A 19,813-nucleotide genomic window follows, 5' to 3' on the forward strand; every position below is an offset into this window, starting at 1 on the left:
TCTTCTAAAACACAAAAACAATTATTGCAAAATAAGAAAGAAGGTATTCATTGCAATCTAAAATTTTCTAGGTGAATTTAAAATTTAACCTTATTTCATATGTAAAAAGTAAAAACAAAACATATTTCTGCTTGCTGGTCACTCTAAGATAAATAACATTTGAACTTGAATAAGATGTTTCAATATAACATTTAATTATGAATAATGAATTATTTGCTCTTGAAATTTTAGCTTTGCCCAAATAAAGTTATATGACTAGTTTTGCAAAGACCTGTCAATTTTATTTTCCATCAAATGCAATGTAAGGCAAAAAACTGCATCTTATATTGACTCTGGCATCATTTCAAATTTCTAACTTTTTTTTTTTTTCTCGAGATGAAGTCTTGCTCTGTTACCCAAACTGGAGCTTGGCTCACTGCAACCTTCACTTCCTGGGCTCAAGAGATTGTGCTGCCTCAGCATTCCAAGTAGCTGAGATTACAAGCGTGTGCCATCACACTTGGTTAATTTTTGTATTTTTAGTAAAGACGAGGTTTTACCATGTTGGCCAGGCTGCTCTCGAACTCCTAACCTCAAGTGATCTGCCCACCTTGGCCTCCCAAAGTGCTGGGATTACAGGTGTGAGCCACCATGCCTGGCCTCAAATTTCTAATCTTTTTAAAGCGATGTTAACAATTTTATCTGAAAGAAATGGCACCATATATGCATTAAATTCAACTGGTTATCTTGATAAAATTAAAAACGCAACAATATAAGAGTGAATTTTGGAGGCAAATATCTCTCTTGAAAACATAAAATTTGAAAATATTATATCTCATGAATTCTAAGAGGTTTTTGTTTAAAGATAATAATACACATGTGTGACTATCAGTACCATACCTATTTACGAACAAAAAATTCAAAATGTTTTATTACTAAATTCTAATACTGCTCATTTATGTGGTAATTATGATTACTTTTGTATATTATTATTCATATATAATCAGTACTTCTCTTATGGAAGATAAAATGCAGATGTGTACGTGTGTGAGAGCACATGTTAAAATTGTGTAGAAAGAGATAGCTTATAAATATGGTAAAAACATATACATTAAATATAATACCTTATAGTTCTAGTAAATGTGCTACAAAAATACTACAGGGTCATGCATTCTGATATAAAAAATAATACACCGTGGGAGAAAAGAAACAGTATATTTTACTTCATAAACCTAGGATGTACACCACAGCTAATAAAATTCTTAGTATTTGTTGTGTTAATTTGAAATAAGTTAAAGAAGCGATGTGTATGGTGGTAAGAATGCTAGATAAAGAAACAGAAGCTTTAATTCAAATCATATGTCACCCACACAATGATGCTAAACTTTTTGAGTTCCTAGATTACATGTTATTCATCTCTGCAACTGCAGTACATGAGTATCATTGGTACCCAACATTTCACAAATGAATGAATGTTTAAAATAGTTAAATAATGCAGACACCACTTACCAGGTGAATGACATGGACCAAGGTAATCACTGAATCATCTTAAATTATAAAATAAGATTAAGCTGTATTTTACAAAGTTCATACAGTACATGATAGCACTGTGTGAGCATGGTGGTCTCAGGATTTACTATGCCTCAGAAATGAATTCCTGGTTTCAGAGAGCTCTTAAAGCAGTAATTAAAACTAAATTTGTGTAAAATTGGGTGTAAGAAAGGAGTTGAGAGTTTATTCAGAAGAACAAATTAATTACCTAAACATAGTATGACAGTGTAAGGTGTTACCCCAAATGGCTCACTTCTAAGAAGGACAAAAAGCTCTTTATTAATAATTATGCCAGGGTAATAGGCTGAGTCATAAGTGTTCCCAGTAAGCTCAAACACTTCTTCAGTGGTACTACTTGATACATGTTTGATTATAGTTATCCATAGGTTAGTCAGAAATAAAGCTAATATACACTATATCTTTCACAAGAAAAAATTTCATTTCATATTTTCTCCAAAATATTATGCTACTCAGATCTCCTCTAATAGAAAAATAATTGAAGTCAACCATAAATCTAGACTGTGTGCATAATAAACCATATGCATAAATGAATCAAGATGTCAATTAAGTAGCTCAGAAATATAGACATCATCAAGTATATCCTACATTTAATTTACTGGGGTCAGTACATTTTTAAAAACCAATTGCCATGATATTTTAGAATGCAAATCACTCATGCTGGTTCAATTAGATCCAGAGTTAAAATATTTTAAGTTCAGGCCGGGTGCGGTGGCTCATGCCTGTAATCCCAGCACTTTGGGAGGCTGAGGTGGGCGGATCACGAGGTCAGGAGATCGAGACCATCCTGGCTAACACGGTGAAACCCCGTCTCTACTGAAAATACAAAAAATTAGCTGGGTGTGGTGGTGGGCGCCTGTAGTCCCAGCTACTCGGGAGGCTGAGGCAGGAGAATGGTGTGAACCCGGGAGGCGGAGCTTGCAGTGAGCTGAGATTGCCCACTGTACTCCAACCTGGGCAACAGAGTGAGACTCCATCTCAAAAAAAAAAAATACATACATATATATATATATATATATATATATATATATATATATATATATATATTTTTTTTTTAAGTTCATCTTGTGTGCTTTTTTCAGACATGTATATCATTTAGTACACCATTATAAGTTCTTATAATGTTTTATAATTTCTGTAATTATATAATTATAACTTACTTATAATTAAGTAAATAAATATACATAATTTGCTGAGATGGTATAATTAAAAGCAATGTTTATTTTTATCTTCTACTATGTAATAACAGCCAATCTGTTTTCCTCTGAATGTATTTTCTCCATTATTTTGTTCTTCATAGACAAACTGATAGGAAGCTTAAAAAGCAAACAAACAAACAAAAAAACCTTGATACCTATAATACATATAGTACTTTTGTGCTCACTGTTTTCCAGTTTCTAATTATCCTTTATAATTTGCTCCTGCTTATTTTTATAGATCTCTCAATTTTTCCTCTTACCAAATATAACTAAGTAATTACAAAGAAAAGTACAGCTTTATAACAGAATAATTTAACAAAATTAGAAACATTGGAAAGTTAAACACTAAACAGTTAAAGAAAGTTACTGCATTGGCATGAATATAACTGTTTTCTGTGATGACAAATCAATCAGTAAGAAAAATAATCAACAAGCAAAAATGAACTGTTAGAAATAAAAACAATAAAACCTTCAAATACTTATTTTAAAACACTTCAGAATCTTTAAGGACATTTTCTACATGAGCTGTTCCAATTTTAATTAGACAGGATGTGTAAAGAAATAACCACTGTAGCCAAATTTCTAAAGAATAAAATCTGTCACTAAGTATTAAATTCTCCAAGAAAGAAAGTCTCGCAACACTCGTCTACATGATGACAAACTTCTGCTCTGAAAGTGTGCCACAAATTACTCCTTCAGTTCTCCTATTAACAATTAAAATTGTTTAAATATATGGAATAACAAGGAAGTTATCTAAGCACAGTTTATAATTTTGCAAAATCAAGCAAATAAAGGTAAAATAAAAGTACGTTTCATGAGAAGAAATACTATGACTCCACACCTTGGTATTTTCAACGTCTAATACTATGCCTGGCACAATAAAGGGAATTCATTTAAAAAGTCTTAATTGCCTTGAGAGCTTGAAGTGGCTGTATTTTATTTCTTTTTATTATATATTATTATTTTTACAATTAATAACAATGCAATTTTTTAAATTTTATTATTATTATACTTTAAGTTTTAGGGTACATGTGCACAACGTGCAGGTTTGTTACATATGTATACATGTGCCATGTTGGTGTGCTGCACCCATTAACTCATCATTTAGCATTAGGTATAATAAAACATCTACTCTTAGGTCAGGATTTCAGGGAAACTGACTACATGCAGATGTTTAAACAAAAAATGCTCTAGATAATAAAATCTTTAATGGAGCAAGCATAGCTTATTGAGGCTGACACCTCAAGCCAATTTTATAGGCAGCTCTAGAGATAAAATGGCCTTTCACAAATGTCCCATATTGAAGAAAGGAGATCATGCCTTTGTCATCCAGCATCCTCCCTGTGGAGGGAGACAAACTTTCACAAGGCAGCTCCGTTTAGTCTAGAAGATGTGATTCTCATAGGCAGCCCACACTTGTGGAAGTTTAGGAATAAGCTCCTTCGTCTTGAAAGCAGGACCTTTGTAGAGCACCGCCTCACAATTTTCCAATCATTCCATTCCATGTGCCTTGAACAATGGACTAAGCCATTCACACATACTTGGAAATCTGCAAATGTTCTTATCTCAGACTTCATATATTCCTCCAGAAATTAGATAACCACGTGATCATGTATACTCTTTCAAGTTTTTCCTGTTTAGGGTGTTTTCCCCTGATGACTGTTTTCCAAGTACTTAAATGGGGCTGTAGTGTAGCAGTGTTTTATTTTCAGCATATACCCATACACTTAGCTGACCCATTACAGAACCAATTTTGGCATTTTCTCCTCCATCCGTTGATTACAAGAAACTCTTCATTTGGCCACAGATATGGGCTTGTAAAGAGCTGCAGTGTGATGGATCATTTGGGAATCTGGGTCATGGCTCGTGCACTTCACTTAAGCTCTCTGGCCCTGATCTCACTTAATTCTAAATGAACCAGTTTGTTCTCCCTGAACCTTATAAGTTTTAGGATGTAAGAAAAGACAGCCTATGATAGGCAATTCTGCTTGACAAGTCATGATCAGATATTCATCATTACATTTCTTAGGATGATTAGAACTGTTTATGGTAATATGTATAATTTTCTGCTGCAAGTGGTATAGGCGTATGCCAGAACATTCTGGGAACTACTAGAAACTCCACGTGGGTTCTTTTTCCACCTAGGATAACTAATAATATCAGTTGCAATTAAGTATAAGTAAGGGAATAAGTAAGCTACATAGGGTCTGCTTGTTTGTATGGCCCATTTAGCAAGGCATTTTCTAGATCATGAAGAAGTCCACCATATATCATCTTTTCTTCTTTGGTTGGAGGTATGAGACACTATAATTTTTATTTTGGACAAAATGTCCCTGCATGCTCCAGACCACCGATGTGTAAGGTCCTGGAGTGTTGATAGAATTCATCTCCCATCTTGTGGAATGCATGCATCTCACCAAAGTTCTTGCTGCACCTTGCTCTTTCAATCTATTTAGCCTGATGTCAGCAAGATAGAGGATAAATGTCATATTCTAAGAAATGTTCAGATTGTCCATGTTCTTCCATACTGAAACATCAAGTTAGAGATCTAACAAAGACTTAAGACAAAACTTTAAAATTATAACTCTTAGTCCTACTAGGTAAATGTGAACTTCTCCTCTTCCTCTTTCTTTGTATGTCTGGAAAAGCACATTTGCCAGATCCATGGCTGCAGAGCACGTGCTTGAAGCTATTTTAATCTGCTCCTGAAATTGATACTACACTGGCACACGATAAAAATTGGAGCTAGTGCTTGACTGTTACTGTGATAATCCACTGTTCTGTGCCAGGATCTATCTTCATTGTTTCTCTCAAGAAATTGGTTGTCATTCTAATTTTTTTCTCTTGTATGTAATATGTCTTTTTCTCTGGCATCTTAAAAGATATTATCTTCATTCGTGGTTTTCAGAAGTGTCTTTATATTGTACTTATTATGGCTTCATTTGCATTTTTCTGATTGTATAAACTTTTTTGCATTTTTGAACATAATGATTTATCAAGTTTTGAATATTAAATCAATATTTTACAAAATACATTTCTAATTCCTGCATTTCATCTTTTGGGCCTTAAATTACATGTATGTCAGACTGCCCTAGATTATCTCAGATCAATTGGGCTCTATCTTTTTTAGTTGTTTTTGCTGTTTACATTAGTTTAGATTGTTTTTATTGCTAAGCATTTAATTATTAATATATTTATTTTTTCTTCTCCTTTCTCTAAACTGCTTTTAATTTCATCCTGTATAATTTTAATTTCTGTTATTGTATTTTTCATCTCCAGTAGCTTGATTTGAGTCACTTTTATCTTTTCCATTTTTCACTTCATTACATTCATTTTTCTTGTTCGTAATAGCTGCTGTAAAGTCCTTGCCTGCTTCTTTCACCAATCTTATCATTTCTCATCATTTTCTATCATTACTGTAATTATAATTTATCTACTTCTTTACATTTATTTATCTTATAAGTTCTATTATTTGAGTATTATTTCTCCCAGAATTTTTCTTGATGTCTTTTAATTTTATATTTATATTTTTCATTATCTATGTTGTTTCTTTCTCTACTAATTGAATTTATTCTTCTTAAGGGCCACAATTTCCTACCTTTGCATGATGGTATATTTGATTGGACATTTGGTATCATAACTATTATACTTTTGAGTGATTGTGTTTTTTTTTCCTGTAAATGGTGATGTTCTTTGCTTCTACTGACAATTTATTTGTGAATTGATTGAATTTTTTTAAGTTTTCCTAAAGTGTTTTAGTAACAGCTGACTTGGACTATTTTAGCTGTACAACTGAAACATTGCAACTGTGAAGTTTTCACTAAATGTCCAGGTGTCTTTACATTTGCAAATTCTAACATAAGCATCTTTTAGCCCTTTGTGTGTTCTGTGACTCTAGGGTTTATCTTGCCTGCTTTCCATAACTTGGGAATCCTAATCCTCTGCTACATGTTTTTACAGCCTCTGAAAATAATAAATTCATATACTGATATGGTTTGGCTGTGTCACCACCCAAATCTCATCTTGAATTCCCATGTATAGTGGGAGGGACCTGGTGGGAGGTAATTGAATCATGAAGGCAGGTCTTTTCCCGTGCTGTTCTCATGATGGTGAATAAGTCTCATGAGATCTGATGGTTTTATAAGGAGGAGTTTACCTGCATAAGCTTTCTTTGCCTGCTGCCATCCACATAAGATGTGACTTGCTCCTCCTTGCCTTCCACCAGGATTGTGAGGCCTCCTCCTTATAACGGAAGCAGAGCATAAAAGCTCGAAAAATTTTCAGCCTGACAATGTGACAGAAAAGAAAATTCCATTTACTGAGGAAAAATCCAAGCCAACTGCAGAAATTTGCATAAGTAATGAGGAGCCGAATGTTAATCCCCAAGACAATGGAAAAAATGTCTCCATGGCATGTCAGAGGTCTTCACAGAAGCCCCTCCTATCACAGGGGCCTAGGAGAAAAAAGTGGTTTCAGGGTCCAGGCCCAGGGTCCCCATGCTGTGTGCAGTCTAGGAACTTGTTGCCCTGCATCCCAGCCACTCCAGCCATGGCTGAAAGGGGCCAATGTAGAGTTTGGGCTGTGGCTTCAGAGGGTGCAAGCTGTAAGCCTTGGCAGCTTCCACATGGTGTTGAGCCTGCCAGTGCATAGAAATCAAGAATTCAGGTTTTTAACCTTCACCTAGACTTCAGAAGTTGTATGGAAAGGCTTCGATGCCCAGGCAGAAGTTTTCTGCAGGGACAGGGCCCTCATGGAGAAACTCTGCTAGGGCAATGCAGAAGAAAAATGTGGGGTCAGAGCCCCCACACAGAGTCCCTACTTGAGCACCACATAGTGGAGCCGTGAGAAGAGTGCTACCGTCTTGGAGACCCCAGAATGATAGATCCACTCATAGCTTGCATTGTGTGCCTGGAAAAGTCGCAGACACTCAATGCAAGCCCATGAAAGAAGCCGGGAGGGAGACCGTGCCCTGCAAAGCCACAGAGGCGAAGCTGCCCAGGACCATGGGAGCCTACCTTTTGCATCAGTTTGACCTGGATGTGAGACATGGAGTGAAAGGAGATCATTTTGGAGCTTTAAGATTTGACTGCCCTGCTGGATTTTGGACTTTCATGGGGCCTGTAGTTCCTGTTTGTTTGTTTTTCCAACTTCTCCCATTTGGAATGGCTATATTTACCCAATGCCTGTACCCCCATTGTATCTGGGAAGTAACTAACTTGCTTTTGATTTTACAGGCTTACAGGCGGAACGAACTTGCGTTGTCTTGGATGAGACTTTGAACTGGACTTTTGAGTCAATGCTGACAGGACTTAAGACTTTGGGGGACTCTTGGGAAGGCATGATTGGTTTTGAAATGTGAGGACATGAAATTTGATAAGCGCCAGGGACAGAATGATATGGTATGGCTGTGTCCTCACCCAAATCTCATCTTGAATTCCTGCGTGTGTTGGTAGGGAGCCAGTGGGAGGTAATTGAAACATGGGGGCAAGTCTTTTCTCATGTTTGTTCTTGTGATGGTGAATAAGTCTCACAAGAACTGATGGTGTTATAAGGAGGAGTTTCCCTGCACAAGTTTTCTTTGCCTGCCACAATCCACGTAAGATGTAACTTGCTCTTCCTTGCCTTCCACCATGATTGTGAGACCTCCACAGCCATGTGGAACTGTAAGTCCAATTAAACCTCTTTCTTTTGTAAATTGCCCAGTCTCAGGTATGTTTTTATCATCAGCCTGAAAATGGACAAATGTATATACTTTACCACTCTTTTAAACTACAGTAGTAAAGTAATTCTATTACAAATTACTCCAACAGAGCCAGAAACAGAATTCCTCTACCTCTTCTAATTATATTTTGCACCCTTTTTCATATTGCATTCTCTGGAGAAATCAAAATTAATAATTTGGTGTGCACCATTCCTTATATTTACTTATAGGTAGGATAATTTTAAATTTCGGCTGATACTATAAATATTTCTAAGAAGCATTATTTTACCTATTATAAAAATATTAATCATATTTCCAATTTTAGGTGATAAAAATGTAAATTATCATATCACTTTACTTTGCTATTTGTTCTATCTAAAATGTATTTAAAATTTATTTTTTTTGGATTTCAGAAATTTCACCAGCATATGTTATTTGTTACTTTTTCAGTATTACTCCTGAAGTTTTGTGTAAACCTTTTCAACTGAAACACAATTCCATCAATGGTGTAGAAAGCTTTCTTCATTCATTCCTGTTCTTATTATTTCTCCTCCATCTGTTGATGTTTACTATATTGTAACTTCTATTATTTAAATATTTGCTCTCCTGGAACTCTTTGTCATGTCTTTTAACCTTATCTCTGTGTTTTTCAAATCATTCTAATTTCATTCCAGGGTGTGTGCCATATTTTATTTGTTTTGTATTTCAAAATATAAAGTTATTTTGTATCTCTTTCTGAAAGAGGTGATTTCTTTAAATTTATTTTATAATTTCTAAATTTATTTTGTGTAACTTAATGTTTTTCTGGAATCTTTTGTTTGGTTTGGTTTTCTCTTTTGCTTTCACTAAGCTCTCCTTTATGGCAATATACTTATGTATTTATATTGGTCTTCTTTCTTCTTTTTATTATTTCAGTCATGATACTTCAGCCATTGTGTGTGGTATCTTTCAACATTTGTTTTGGCTTTTCAGACTAAACAGACAATAAAAATAATACCTGAGTATTTTCCTCAGTGGCCTGATGTTGACTAGATGAACAAATAGTACTCCTTTCTTTTTAGGGGCAGCCTATGTTGAAAGACCCATCTTTTTTCAAATATAATATGTAAAAGGTTATTGGCAAGTTGACATTAATCCTCTATCAATGCTAAAAGAATATAAAATCTTAATCTTCCTACAGTTACAGCTAGGGATGTCATACTGATCTGCTCAGAAAATCAAGAGATTGGTTAGACTCACCCTATAGCTTTTTCTAAGGTACAGAGGTCTTCATAATTTCCTTGATGCCAAAAACATTAAATACCTACATGTGCATTTCTTTTGGCCCTATTTAGAACTCATATTCTAAAATGTAATGAGGATCTTCAGACTCAAAAAATTTGTGATGGTTAATTTGGTTGCTAAATTATACTACCAGAGAGGTAGAAGAGGAGACAGATATGTTTAAGTTACATTCATTCCAATAATTAGTGTACGTACTTATGCTAATACATTTTGTATTCCCTAATGGTATAACATGAGTTTGAAGATACAATAGTTGTCATTCTGTTAGAGATTAATAATAAAAATATCACATAAGTCTCAGATATCAATCTCAAACTTAGCAATCATGTTCCTAAACATTTGAATTACAGCATAAATTAATTTCCCTAAATGAATTTGAAGTGATTTATACAACTGACTTTAATGATTTATGTAAGTAAAATGTATGTGCTTTTAAAAGATAAGTACTATAAAAAGTATAACTTAACAATCAAAGACAATTGAGCACACTGCACTTACAAAAGAGTATTTTAGTATCTTAGTGCTTAGGTGACTAACATTTATATAAATAAGAGTGAAGTGTAAGAAAACAAGAAGATTTGAAAAATTCTAAATATTTGATAGAGTTTCTCTGAGAGAGGGAGCTTATTTTGTTTAGTGTGCTTTATACGTTACTTCAGATCTGGACACACAAATATATGTTTGTTCATATGAAATTAACAGAAATTCTGCATGGGCACTAAATATTGAATGTTGAAAGACTGCGAAAAAAGTCACATAATAACAAACCTCAGGTATTGGAGATGGCCAAGAAACTGAGAATTCAAGGCCAGGAATACCTAATATTTTAGAGTTAAGTTCCTTTTTGCATTGCAATGCAAAAATTCTTTTAAGGGAATGTCTTTCTATATAAATTCCTTTCATTTCCCTATATTTTAAGTGGAAACATTCTTCCCATATGAATCTAAATGATTAGAGTGATTTCATGAAAATATTAGGGTAGTGTCCCATTTGAAGTCACCAAATATAAAAAAAATGGAGAGCACTTGTTTTGAATTACAACAACCCATAAACAGAAACGACTGAAAGGAATCAGAAACTGAGAGACAGAGATGGTAAGTAACATTTGGCATACAGCAGCACTATTACCAAGTTTAAGGATTAGGGTTGAATTTCATCTGGAACTAAATGAAAAGTTTCACAAGTAGAAAAATGTGTTTAGCAATATAAAGCCAGCACTGGTGAAGAGCTTGAAATGCAGAAGTGACTATTGTGGAACAAAATAATTTCTAGAGGAAATGTGAATGGACTGGGAGAGGAGAAGTATTGAAAGAAACCATACAGTCAAAACAAATTACAGGAAGAGGTGCTGAAATATCGGTCACAGCAAGAATTCTTAGTGGAGTATGAGCAAAATTAATTCTAAGTATGTTAATTTAGAATCTAAGAACTGAATTTAACCTTTAAAAATCTTATATATTTGTGTTATAAACTTTAATCCTGAGTCTTCTTAATACGAACTACAAGTAAATTAACTTTTTAAGCTTGTTCTGGTAAGGTAGGCTCACACCTTCACATGGATCTTACAGAGTTTTTGAAAGGGTGTAACTACCACCAGTAAAGAAAAACTAAGGTAATTAGATGATTTGAAGAAACCTTAGAAAGAATGACCTACAAGGAAGTGTAGAACCAACCTCAATAAGAAAATAAAATAAATTATAGCAATTTTTCATTGTGTTAGCATCTTATAAAATGTGTATTTTGTTAAGTGTACTCAATGACACACTAATATGAAATGTTACATAATTTCTGGAAATTTTCCTTCTAAAGATACCATGCTTCTTTGTTAAAAGTCTCATTAAAAATGGGTACAAATATCTTGAAAACTATCCACACTTCCAAATATTGTTATTTAATTAATTTTCACTGTTTACTTTTTCACTTGTCTATTTTTTCTCTTTTCACTATTTCATCTTATTTTACAATCAAATTCATTACAATATCCTGTATTTGTCTTAAGTCCTTCTTGCTACTTCTTTGTAGTTCTCTTTTGTTTCAATTTCCATCTAATCTATTCTCTTACACATATTAAATAAACATTTTATGTGATATCATCTATTAGCTAATGTCTTATTTTTTCCTCAGTTATGAGATTACGCTTGTCATGTTTGTATGCCACTGGAAAGAGGGAATTATAACCAGAAACTAATTATACAAAAAGAAAAATTATGCATTATTTCTAATACATGCATACACTATGTATCTAATATATTTATATGATACATATCTATCTATCTATCTACCTACCTACTTATCTATATGGCATAGCTAACAAGAGCCAGGTTGCTGACACAAGTCTTTTTTATTCTATCATTATTTCCAAGTAGCCATGTTGTATGGTGAATTCCCATGAATTTGTCTGCAGTAAGTCAATAAGCTGATTGTCAGGAATCAGAGAGACTAATATGTTATAAGAGAAGATGGAGACTTCATAGTGTGATTTTGGATGTTAAATAACTGAGACATCAATTGTGTTTTGTTTGTGAGCTGCTATGCTGTGCTCTTCATCTCCTCTGAGCCTGTCTTAGAACAATGAATGTAGCACTGTAGTGAGCCAGCCTTTGGAGACAGATTGATTGACTTTGACATTAGCTACCTGTGTGAACTTGATCAAGTAAACTTGTGTAATTAGTTTTCTTGTTAGGCAAATATACATAATACCGATCTCCACTTCATAGGAAAAATCTAAGTCTAAATTGATATAGAATAGCGCCTACCCATATTCAGTACTGCCTAAGTGGTAAATATTACCCAGACCTTGCTCCCTCTCTATTTTTCCCTCTCTGCCTCGGTTCCTCTCTTCCCTTTCATACACACTGGAGCAAGTAAAGTTAGGTGGGTGATATCCTAGATCCATTATTCAATAATATTTCTATGTAAAAAAAAGAAGTTGTTTGAGAGTACTCCAGAACCAATCTTAGTTTTAAATAATTTGAGCATGATGAAATGATGAGAGTTTAGCAAATGCCATGATACATAGAGGTTGCAGTTTAAATTTAGGCACCTTCAGATAGAAGAGCAGAAATAAAGCAATGATATTTATTCTGTGTATGATGATTATGGGAATATTTTCATGATCAGTGAAAGTAAAATGGATGTATTGCTCTTTTACCTTTGGTAGAAAATGTTAGAGCATAAATGTCCATGGAAGAGGAACACTTTATTTGTCCCTAGAGGATAAATCGCTGAAGCAGCACAGGCCAGAATCCTGACAATTTGTGTACTAAGTCACCCACCTGTCACATGTGCAGAAATTGTTTTGTAAAATGTACCATAGCCAAGGAAGTTTTATTCAAAAGACAGAAAAAAAAATCTATGCACAGCAAACAATTTGTCAAATTTCTTTTAGAAGTATGAGCTCTGAACATATGGAGCAGTGTCAGTCATTAAAGAAAAATGAAACTGCAATGTGTCTACAAAAACGCTTTTCTGGTAGAAAGAGCTAGTTGTCTGTGTGTATCCCTTAAAAGAATATTCAATATCTGTAGAAAAAAACGAATATAATGGTCAATTTCCAGTATGTACCTGGGCATCCTAAAAGTGTTGACTTTGTGCTATTACATAGTATTAAAGTAGCATAATATCATTAAGATAAAATGTTTACTACAGTGCTACCTTTGCAAGTGTCCTAGTTCTACATTCTGTATCAGACAGCTTGAATTTAAAAATGTAATTACATTTGTTCAATAATCCATACCAGTCTACACGTAATGCATCTATTTTTGACAATTTATTGGATTTAATACAGCGAATGTGTCATTTATTTCATATCATGTTTTATAAATAGAACAAAGTATGTATTTTATACTTTAAAGATTTTAAAGTAGTTATCAACTAATTCCCTACCGTGTAATTTTTATAATGATGCCTGTGTAACATCAGTTTAAGAATTTAATAATGTAGGCCAGGCCGGCGGCTCACCCCCGTAATCCCTGCACTTTGGGAGGCCGAGATGGGCAGATCACCTGAGGTAAGGAGTTCAAGACCAGTCTCGCCAAACATGGTGAAACCCTGTCTCTACCAAAAAATACAAAACTTAGCCAGGCATGGTGGAAGGTGCCTATAGTCCCAGCTACTCAGGAAGCTGAGGCAGGTAAATCACTTGAACCCAGGAGGCAGAGGTTGCAGTGAGCTGAGACGGTCCCCCCTCCAGCCTGGGGGACAGAGCGAGACCCCGTCCCCAAAAAGAAAGAAAGAAAGAATGTAATAATTGATTAATTATATTTCCTTTTTCTATAGTGATTATACTTCAATGTTTTTACATAGTAATAGCAGGATGTTGTTTAACAAACCTGAAATCCAAAGTCAGGAAATCTGAATTTCTGCATTCAAGCACAATTTCAGCACATATTATTAATGTTAAATTTTATTTTTAAATACGTCAACTCCTGTGAACCTCAATGCCCACATATATGGAATAATACAATTAATATTTTTGGTACATATTTTGTGTTAGATATAGGGCTCACAAATGTGTACTCATTAATGATATGAGGTATAGTTTTGCTGTCTTTCCTTATTAAAATGAGAAACCAGGCTTAGTAATTTTTCCAAGGTTACAGAGCTCCTGGTAGGGCCAGGATATTGACTCAGGCATTTTTCCTGCAGAACTTACAATCTTAAAAAATGGAGTGTCCTATTTGTGTTAGATTGGCAACAGTAATGGCCCTGGAGTTTCACTCCTCCTTGTATTTATACTCTTGTGTAGTCAAGGTGTAATTCTCTGCACCTCAGCTTGACCATGTGTTCTGCCTTGGCTAATGTAGGGACCCAGGTAACAAATATCACATAAGTAGAGTTATGAATAGCAATTATACATTGGGCCTTGTGCTTCTGCCCTCTTGAAGAGAAGATCATGTCCCAGTCCAATCTGCTTACTCTGAAAGGAGGATGAGAGAAATGTGACAGACACTGAGCCCAGATGTCCCATTTATCTCAGCCAGACAGCCTTGATAAGCTAAGCCCCACTGAGATCAGTGAATTTCAGCCAATGACACATGAGCTATAATTATACAGTATTGTATTATTTTTGTAATATTAGTATGAGTTTGGGAATATTTCTTATAACCCAATAGCTAAAAGATAGACTACATCTCTAACTATAACATAAGAGGAATATTTACATCTCAGGTTTATGGAAAGGCCAAAATTTGAAAATATTTATATGTGGGAATAGGTATTCAGAAATGTGTTATTTTTACTTACTCTGATTTATACAATTTTCTAAAGAGTTTTTCAGGTGGTTTGAGAGGGCAAAATAAACTGTAATTTGGACACTACTCCCCCACTTTCTGTGAACATTGTTTATCAGAGATTACATTAACTCTTAAAACCTAAGGGCTTAACAGATATTTGACAATTACCCGGAAATCTTCACCCAGCTTCACTTCCAACACTGAAATATAATGGCCGATTGGATAAACATCTGATCAGTCATTCTATTTCTTCTTTGAATCAAATTCTATATATGCCTCTTTTTCTTTAATAGCATTCACACTGGCATAATGCAAACTTTCATCAACGCTTTCTAAGGCTGGATTAACAGTTCCAAGACCTATAAATAGACTACCAGGAAGTTGGTGCTTTTAGGCTAGCTACTTTCAAGTTAATCATCAATGCTCCCACTAGAATGATCTTTATAGCAAACAAATATGCACATCTGACTCAGATATTTTCAGAGACTAAGCATGTTTTATTGGATACATTCTAAATTATTTTGCATCACATAAAATACCTGTATATTTCTCTTTAGTTTCAATTCCTAACATTTTCCCATATTACACAACAGCCTTTGTCCCCCAAACACAAAATAAGCAAATCACAAGGTTCTGGATGAGCAGAGTTTCTTAACTATTTTATTTCTTGGCATATGCTAAGTCTTTACTGATTTGTATATAACAATACATTTTTCTGCAAATATTTTTTTCTTTCTTGGACCTAAGATAACTACAATTAATCTCTTTAATTCTCTACTCATATTATTAATTCTTAATCTATCTTCCCTATCTTTCTTTATTGCTCTCACTGCAGCTCTATTCAGAAAATATTTTTTCCTTTATAATTAATGTTATCTTCTCTAGAATATGTATTTCATAATGATCATATATGTTCTTTCTTTCTATCTGATTACATAGCACTTGAATATAATAAAGGTTTCACCAACTATTGGCTAAACACATTAAGTAAGTGATTATATAATTCATAGACAATCTATTCATATTTATTGATGTGTTTTTTTGAATAAAAGTAATCAAATTCCTATGCTATAAACTTGATAACCTGACAATTATTTAAGTTATGATGCGTATGTATGGAGTTGTATAAAATATTGGACTAAGTTACCATCTCTAAACTGACCTCAAAGTGTTGCAAAATTAACTAATAGTAAATCATAACAGATACTTACTATTAATATTTTGAGAATGTGAAGAGAGGATGTAAAAATTCTAAGTAGATATTCTGGATGGGTTGAATTTGCATGCTTACAATGAAATTTTATCATTGCACAAAGATGGGCTTCACCTCAGTGTTATTTTTAAGAGAAATAGTATTCTTTCATATGTCATATTGGAAGACTATCAGAAATTTATGGAATTATTCATGACAATTAGACTTTCTAATTCATGACATAGTTTGACCCAGCTAACATTTAAGCTCCCTGTGATGAATTAAAAAGTCAAGGGAGGAATTAATGTATAATGATGAATCCCCTCTATTTTTGCTGGACATTAAGTCTATTTACATGTAAGCTTGATTCTAATTTTGTGAAACATAACCTTAGTTTTAGCCAAACAAAGTCATCTTATAAAAATATTTGAAGTAGACCAGGCACAGTGGCTCATGTCTCTAATCCCAGCACTTTGGGAGGCCGAGGCTGGCAGATCACCTGAGGTCGGGAGTTTGAGACCAGTCTGACCAATATGGAGAAACCCCATCTCTACTAAAAATACAAAATTAGCTGGGCATGTTTGCACATGCCTGTAATCCCAGCTACTTGGGAGGCTGAGGCAGGAAAATCGCTTGAACCCGGGAGGCGGAGGTTGCAGTGAGCCAAGATCATGCCATTGCACTGTAGCCTGGGCAACAAGAGCAAAACTCCCTCTTAAAAAAAAAAAAAGAATTCAAAGTATAGGCAAATTTATTGTTAACAAATAGTTATTGAGCACTCTCTCTCCACCTATGCAACAATGTAGAGGAAGCATCACAGTAAGATTATGGGATATATATATATATATATTTACATTTTTAATATGTATATATATATATATATATATATATATATATATATATCCCATAATAGAAAAAAATGATGAAGGAGGAGCAATATTCAAAATAAAGCAAGGTAATAAATAAGTAGTAGAAAATCTGAATAGGAAAACAAGAGTTTTAAAAAATCAACTGGCATGTAGAATCTGTTTTTAGTTAGGAAAATAGTTGATAAAAAATGGGTGGAAGTTGAAGTGGCTGCACATGCCCTACTCAGTCTATTCTGGGTGAAATAATAGCAGAGGGTAGAAGAGAAATGCCTAACATCATTGACAATTTCCTAATTATAGAAGAGGTTAGCAAACTTATAAAAGGGAACATGCAATCTGAATAGTAATTAAAGGAGCCAGCCTCAAAGTTTCAAAGCACATTTTAAATAATTTTGTAATGTGCTGATTTTTAAACATCATTTGAAGTTATTGAAAGGAAATAGACTGAGTTGAAAAGTTATTCTTATTTTTTTCCTAAAGCTAGAAAAAATAAATTAGGCTTTTTGGCATAGGGAATCTAACTCAAACTGAGGGGTTAGTTTTATATCTAGAAACTACATGATTTGAATAAGCAGAAGCCATCTAACAACACATTGATAACTGACATAATTTAAAATTAACCAATAAAATAATCCAGCATTGTGTTCACAAAGATGCTTTCATTAGACACTAATTTTATGCTCTGAAGCATATTTTCTTTAGATTTTTCAAACTAAATATTTAAAAATTAGAAAAATTATTATAATCAACCTAAAATAATTAACATAAACAATTAAAATGTTTAACATAAACAAATAAATCGATTTTTCAATATTTTACCCAACTAGCAGGATTATAGTGATTTAATAATTATTTTTGATTTTTAAATTAAGCTTGGTTTTGTCTAAGTAATTCTCATTGGTATTCAGTGGAGTAAATACATTTTTCACTCCCTTTTACATATTAAGAAATGAAGATTGACAGAAGAAACTTGCTTATGTCAGAGAGATAAGTGGAAAAATACAGATTATGTTGGATCATTGTGGAACATATGTGTAATTGGAAAACAAGAAAAATATATACATTTGTATACAAATAATATTAAACTGTAAATTAAGTGCCATAAAAGCAAATAAAAAATAAACTGGGAAATATTTACAGTACATATTACAAAAAGTTCATTTTTAATGTGTATAGGTTTCCAATATTCATAAGAGAAAAAGTCAACAAAAGAAAAATAAAGTATATAAGCAATTTGCAGAATAAGTGTGCATGCATATGTATGTAGGCTACTGATTTCATATTATATATTATATATAATATATAATCAAGCTTTGTAATATTTAAAATCAATTAAATTAAATAAGAATATTTTATTTTAAAATCAATTAAGTTGAATTCGTCAATAAGTTGAAGTAACCAAAAATATTCCTTTCTGACTTGAGCTATAAGATTTTAAATATTTTACATTGTTGATGAAGAAATAAATTCAATGTTTCTGAAAAACTAATTTTACACAATATCTAAGATGGAACATTTAAATGTGATTTGAAACATTAATTTGCCTTCTATGAATAGGTAAAGGGAAATAATCAGAATGAAGGCAAAATATTAAGTACAAAGTTTCTCATTACAACATTATTTAGGCAATAGCAAAAAATTGATGAAAATTAGAGCAATAATAACAGTACTATAATTTTTCTGTAAATTATGGCATATTCACATTCTTAACTCTTTTAAAGTCAATAGAAGCACATTTATGTTTCATTTTATCTAAAATAACAATTAAGATCGTTCTTTTAACTATGTCTACTTTAGAAGTTTAGTTACTCAACCAATATTCTTGCTAACAAAATATGTTGATTTTATTTAATCAGAGTGATTAGACATCACTCTGCCTCTAGGTGACCTACATATAGAAGACTACATCCTGAGCTTATATGAAATTTGTGATTCATCTGTCTTAGTGGAACCATGACCCTTATTGATCATGAGTTTAAAGGTAGGTATGTGACCCAATCTGGCAAAAGCAACAAAATTTAGCCTTCTGAAAGCAAAACCTGTTTATTAGCGGGTTACCATTTTGGAAGGAAGAAAATAACCTAGGTTCTTAGTAGCTTTATTAAGCTGCAAAACTGCTAATTATATTATGTTTGAAGTTGCCTTACTTTTAAATCTCCAGTATGTGAGAAAACAAATTTCTCAATATTTAATTGAGTTTGAGCTTGGATTTAATGTTTCAAATACTCAGTAAATTCCTTATAATAACTAATACTTAGACAAAAAAAAAAAACCTTACCTGTAAACACTGTAAAAATGTCATCCACTCCCACAAGCAGAATCCTGAAGATTTTTTTCAGAAATAATAGAAACGAGAACAATGAATGTGGTGATCACTTAACAGAGCAGCGGATGCAGAAAAAGAAACTGTTGGGGGAATAAATAAAGATTCTTAAAGGAATATCACAAACAAATCCTCTTTTGAACAGAATAATTGCTTTAGAGGGGACTGTAAGGAAGACTGGAAAGGGAACAATCAAACTATTATATTACAGCTTTCATGCTGGATGCCATTATTGATGTGAAGGCACATTTCAGAGCTGACATTCAGTTTATAGAGAAATTTTACTGAGTCTATAAGCTCCTATTTGTTTGCATTCTCCTTTAAAAGATTCTTTGTGGTTTAGTTTGAATGTCTTTCCCTCTCCCCCAACCCCTGAGAAATTTCGTATTTATTCGTATCAAAAGTCTGGGGTCTTTTAAATTGCTATTAATATAGTAGGCCTGGATTGGCCATGAAAATGTTT

The 19,813-nt window shown here is 33.3% G+C and overlaps 1 long non-coding RNA gene across 2 annotated transcripts in view; it reads right to left on the reverse strand.

Moving 5' to 3' along the window:
• The window catches only part of LINC01608 (long intergenic non-protein coding RNA 1608), an 89,744-nt gene extending 70,311 nt beyond the window's left edge, over positions 1-19,433 (reverse strand). The window contains exons 1-2 of one of the 2 annotated variants that reach the window (NR_125417.1): positions 19,306-19,433; positions 6,904-7,032 (exon numbers count right to left, since the gene is read on the reverse strand). This is a non-coding gene — a long non-coding RNA (long intergenic non-protein coding RNA 1608). The remainder of the gene's footprint in view (positions 1-6,903; positions 7,033-19,305) is intronic. The other variant, NR_125416.1, reaches the window with a different exon arrangement.
• Between the last annotated feature and the right edge of the window lie 380 nt (positions 19,434-19,813).

The sequence above is a fragment of the Homo sapiens genome, chromosome 8 (genome assembly GCF_000001405.40).
Source record: "Homo sapiens chromosome 8, GRCh38.p14 Primary Assembly".
NCBI classification, from domain to species: domain Eukaryota; kingdom Metazoa; phylum Chordata; class Mammalia; order Primates; family Hominidae; genus Homo; species Homo sapiens.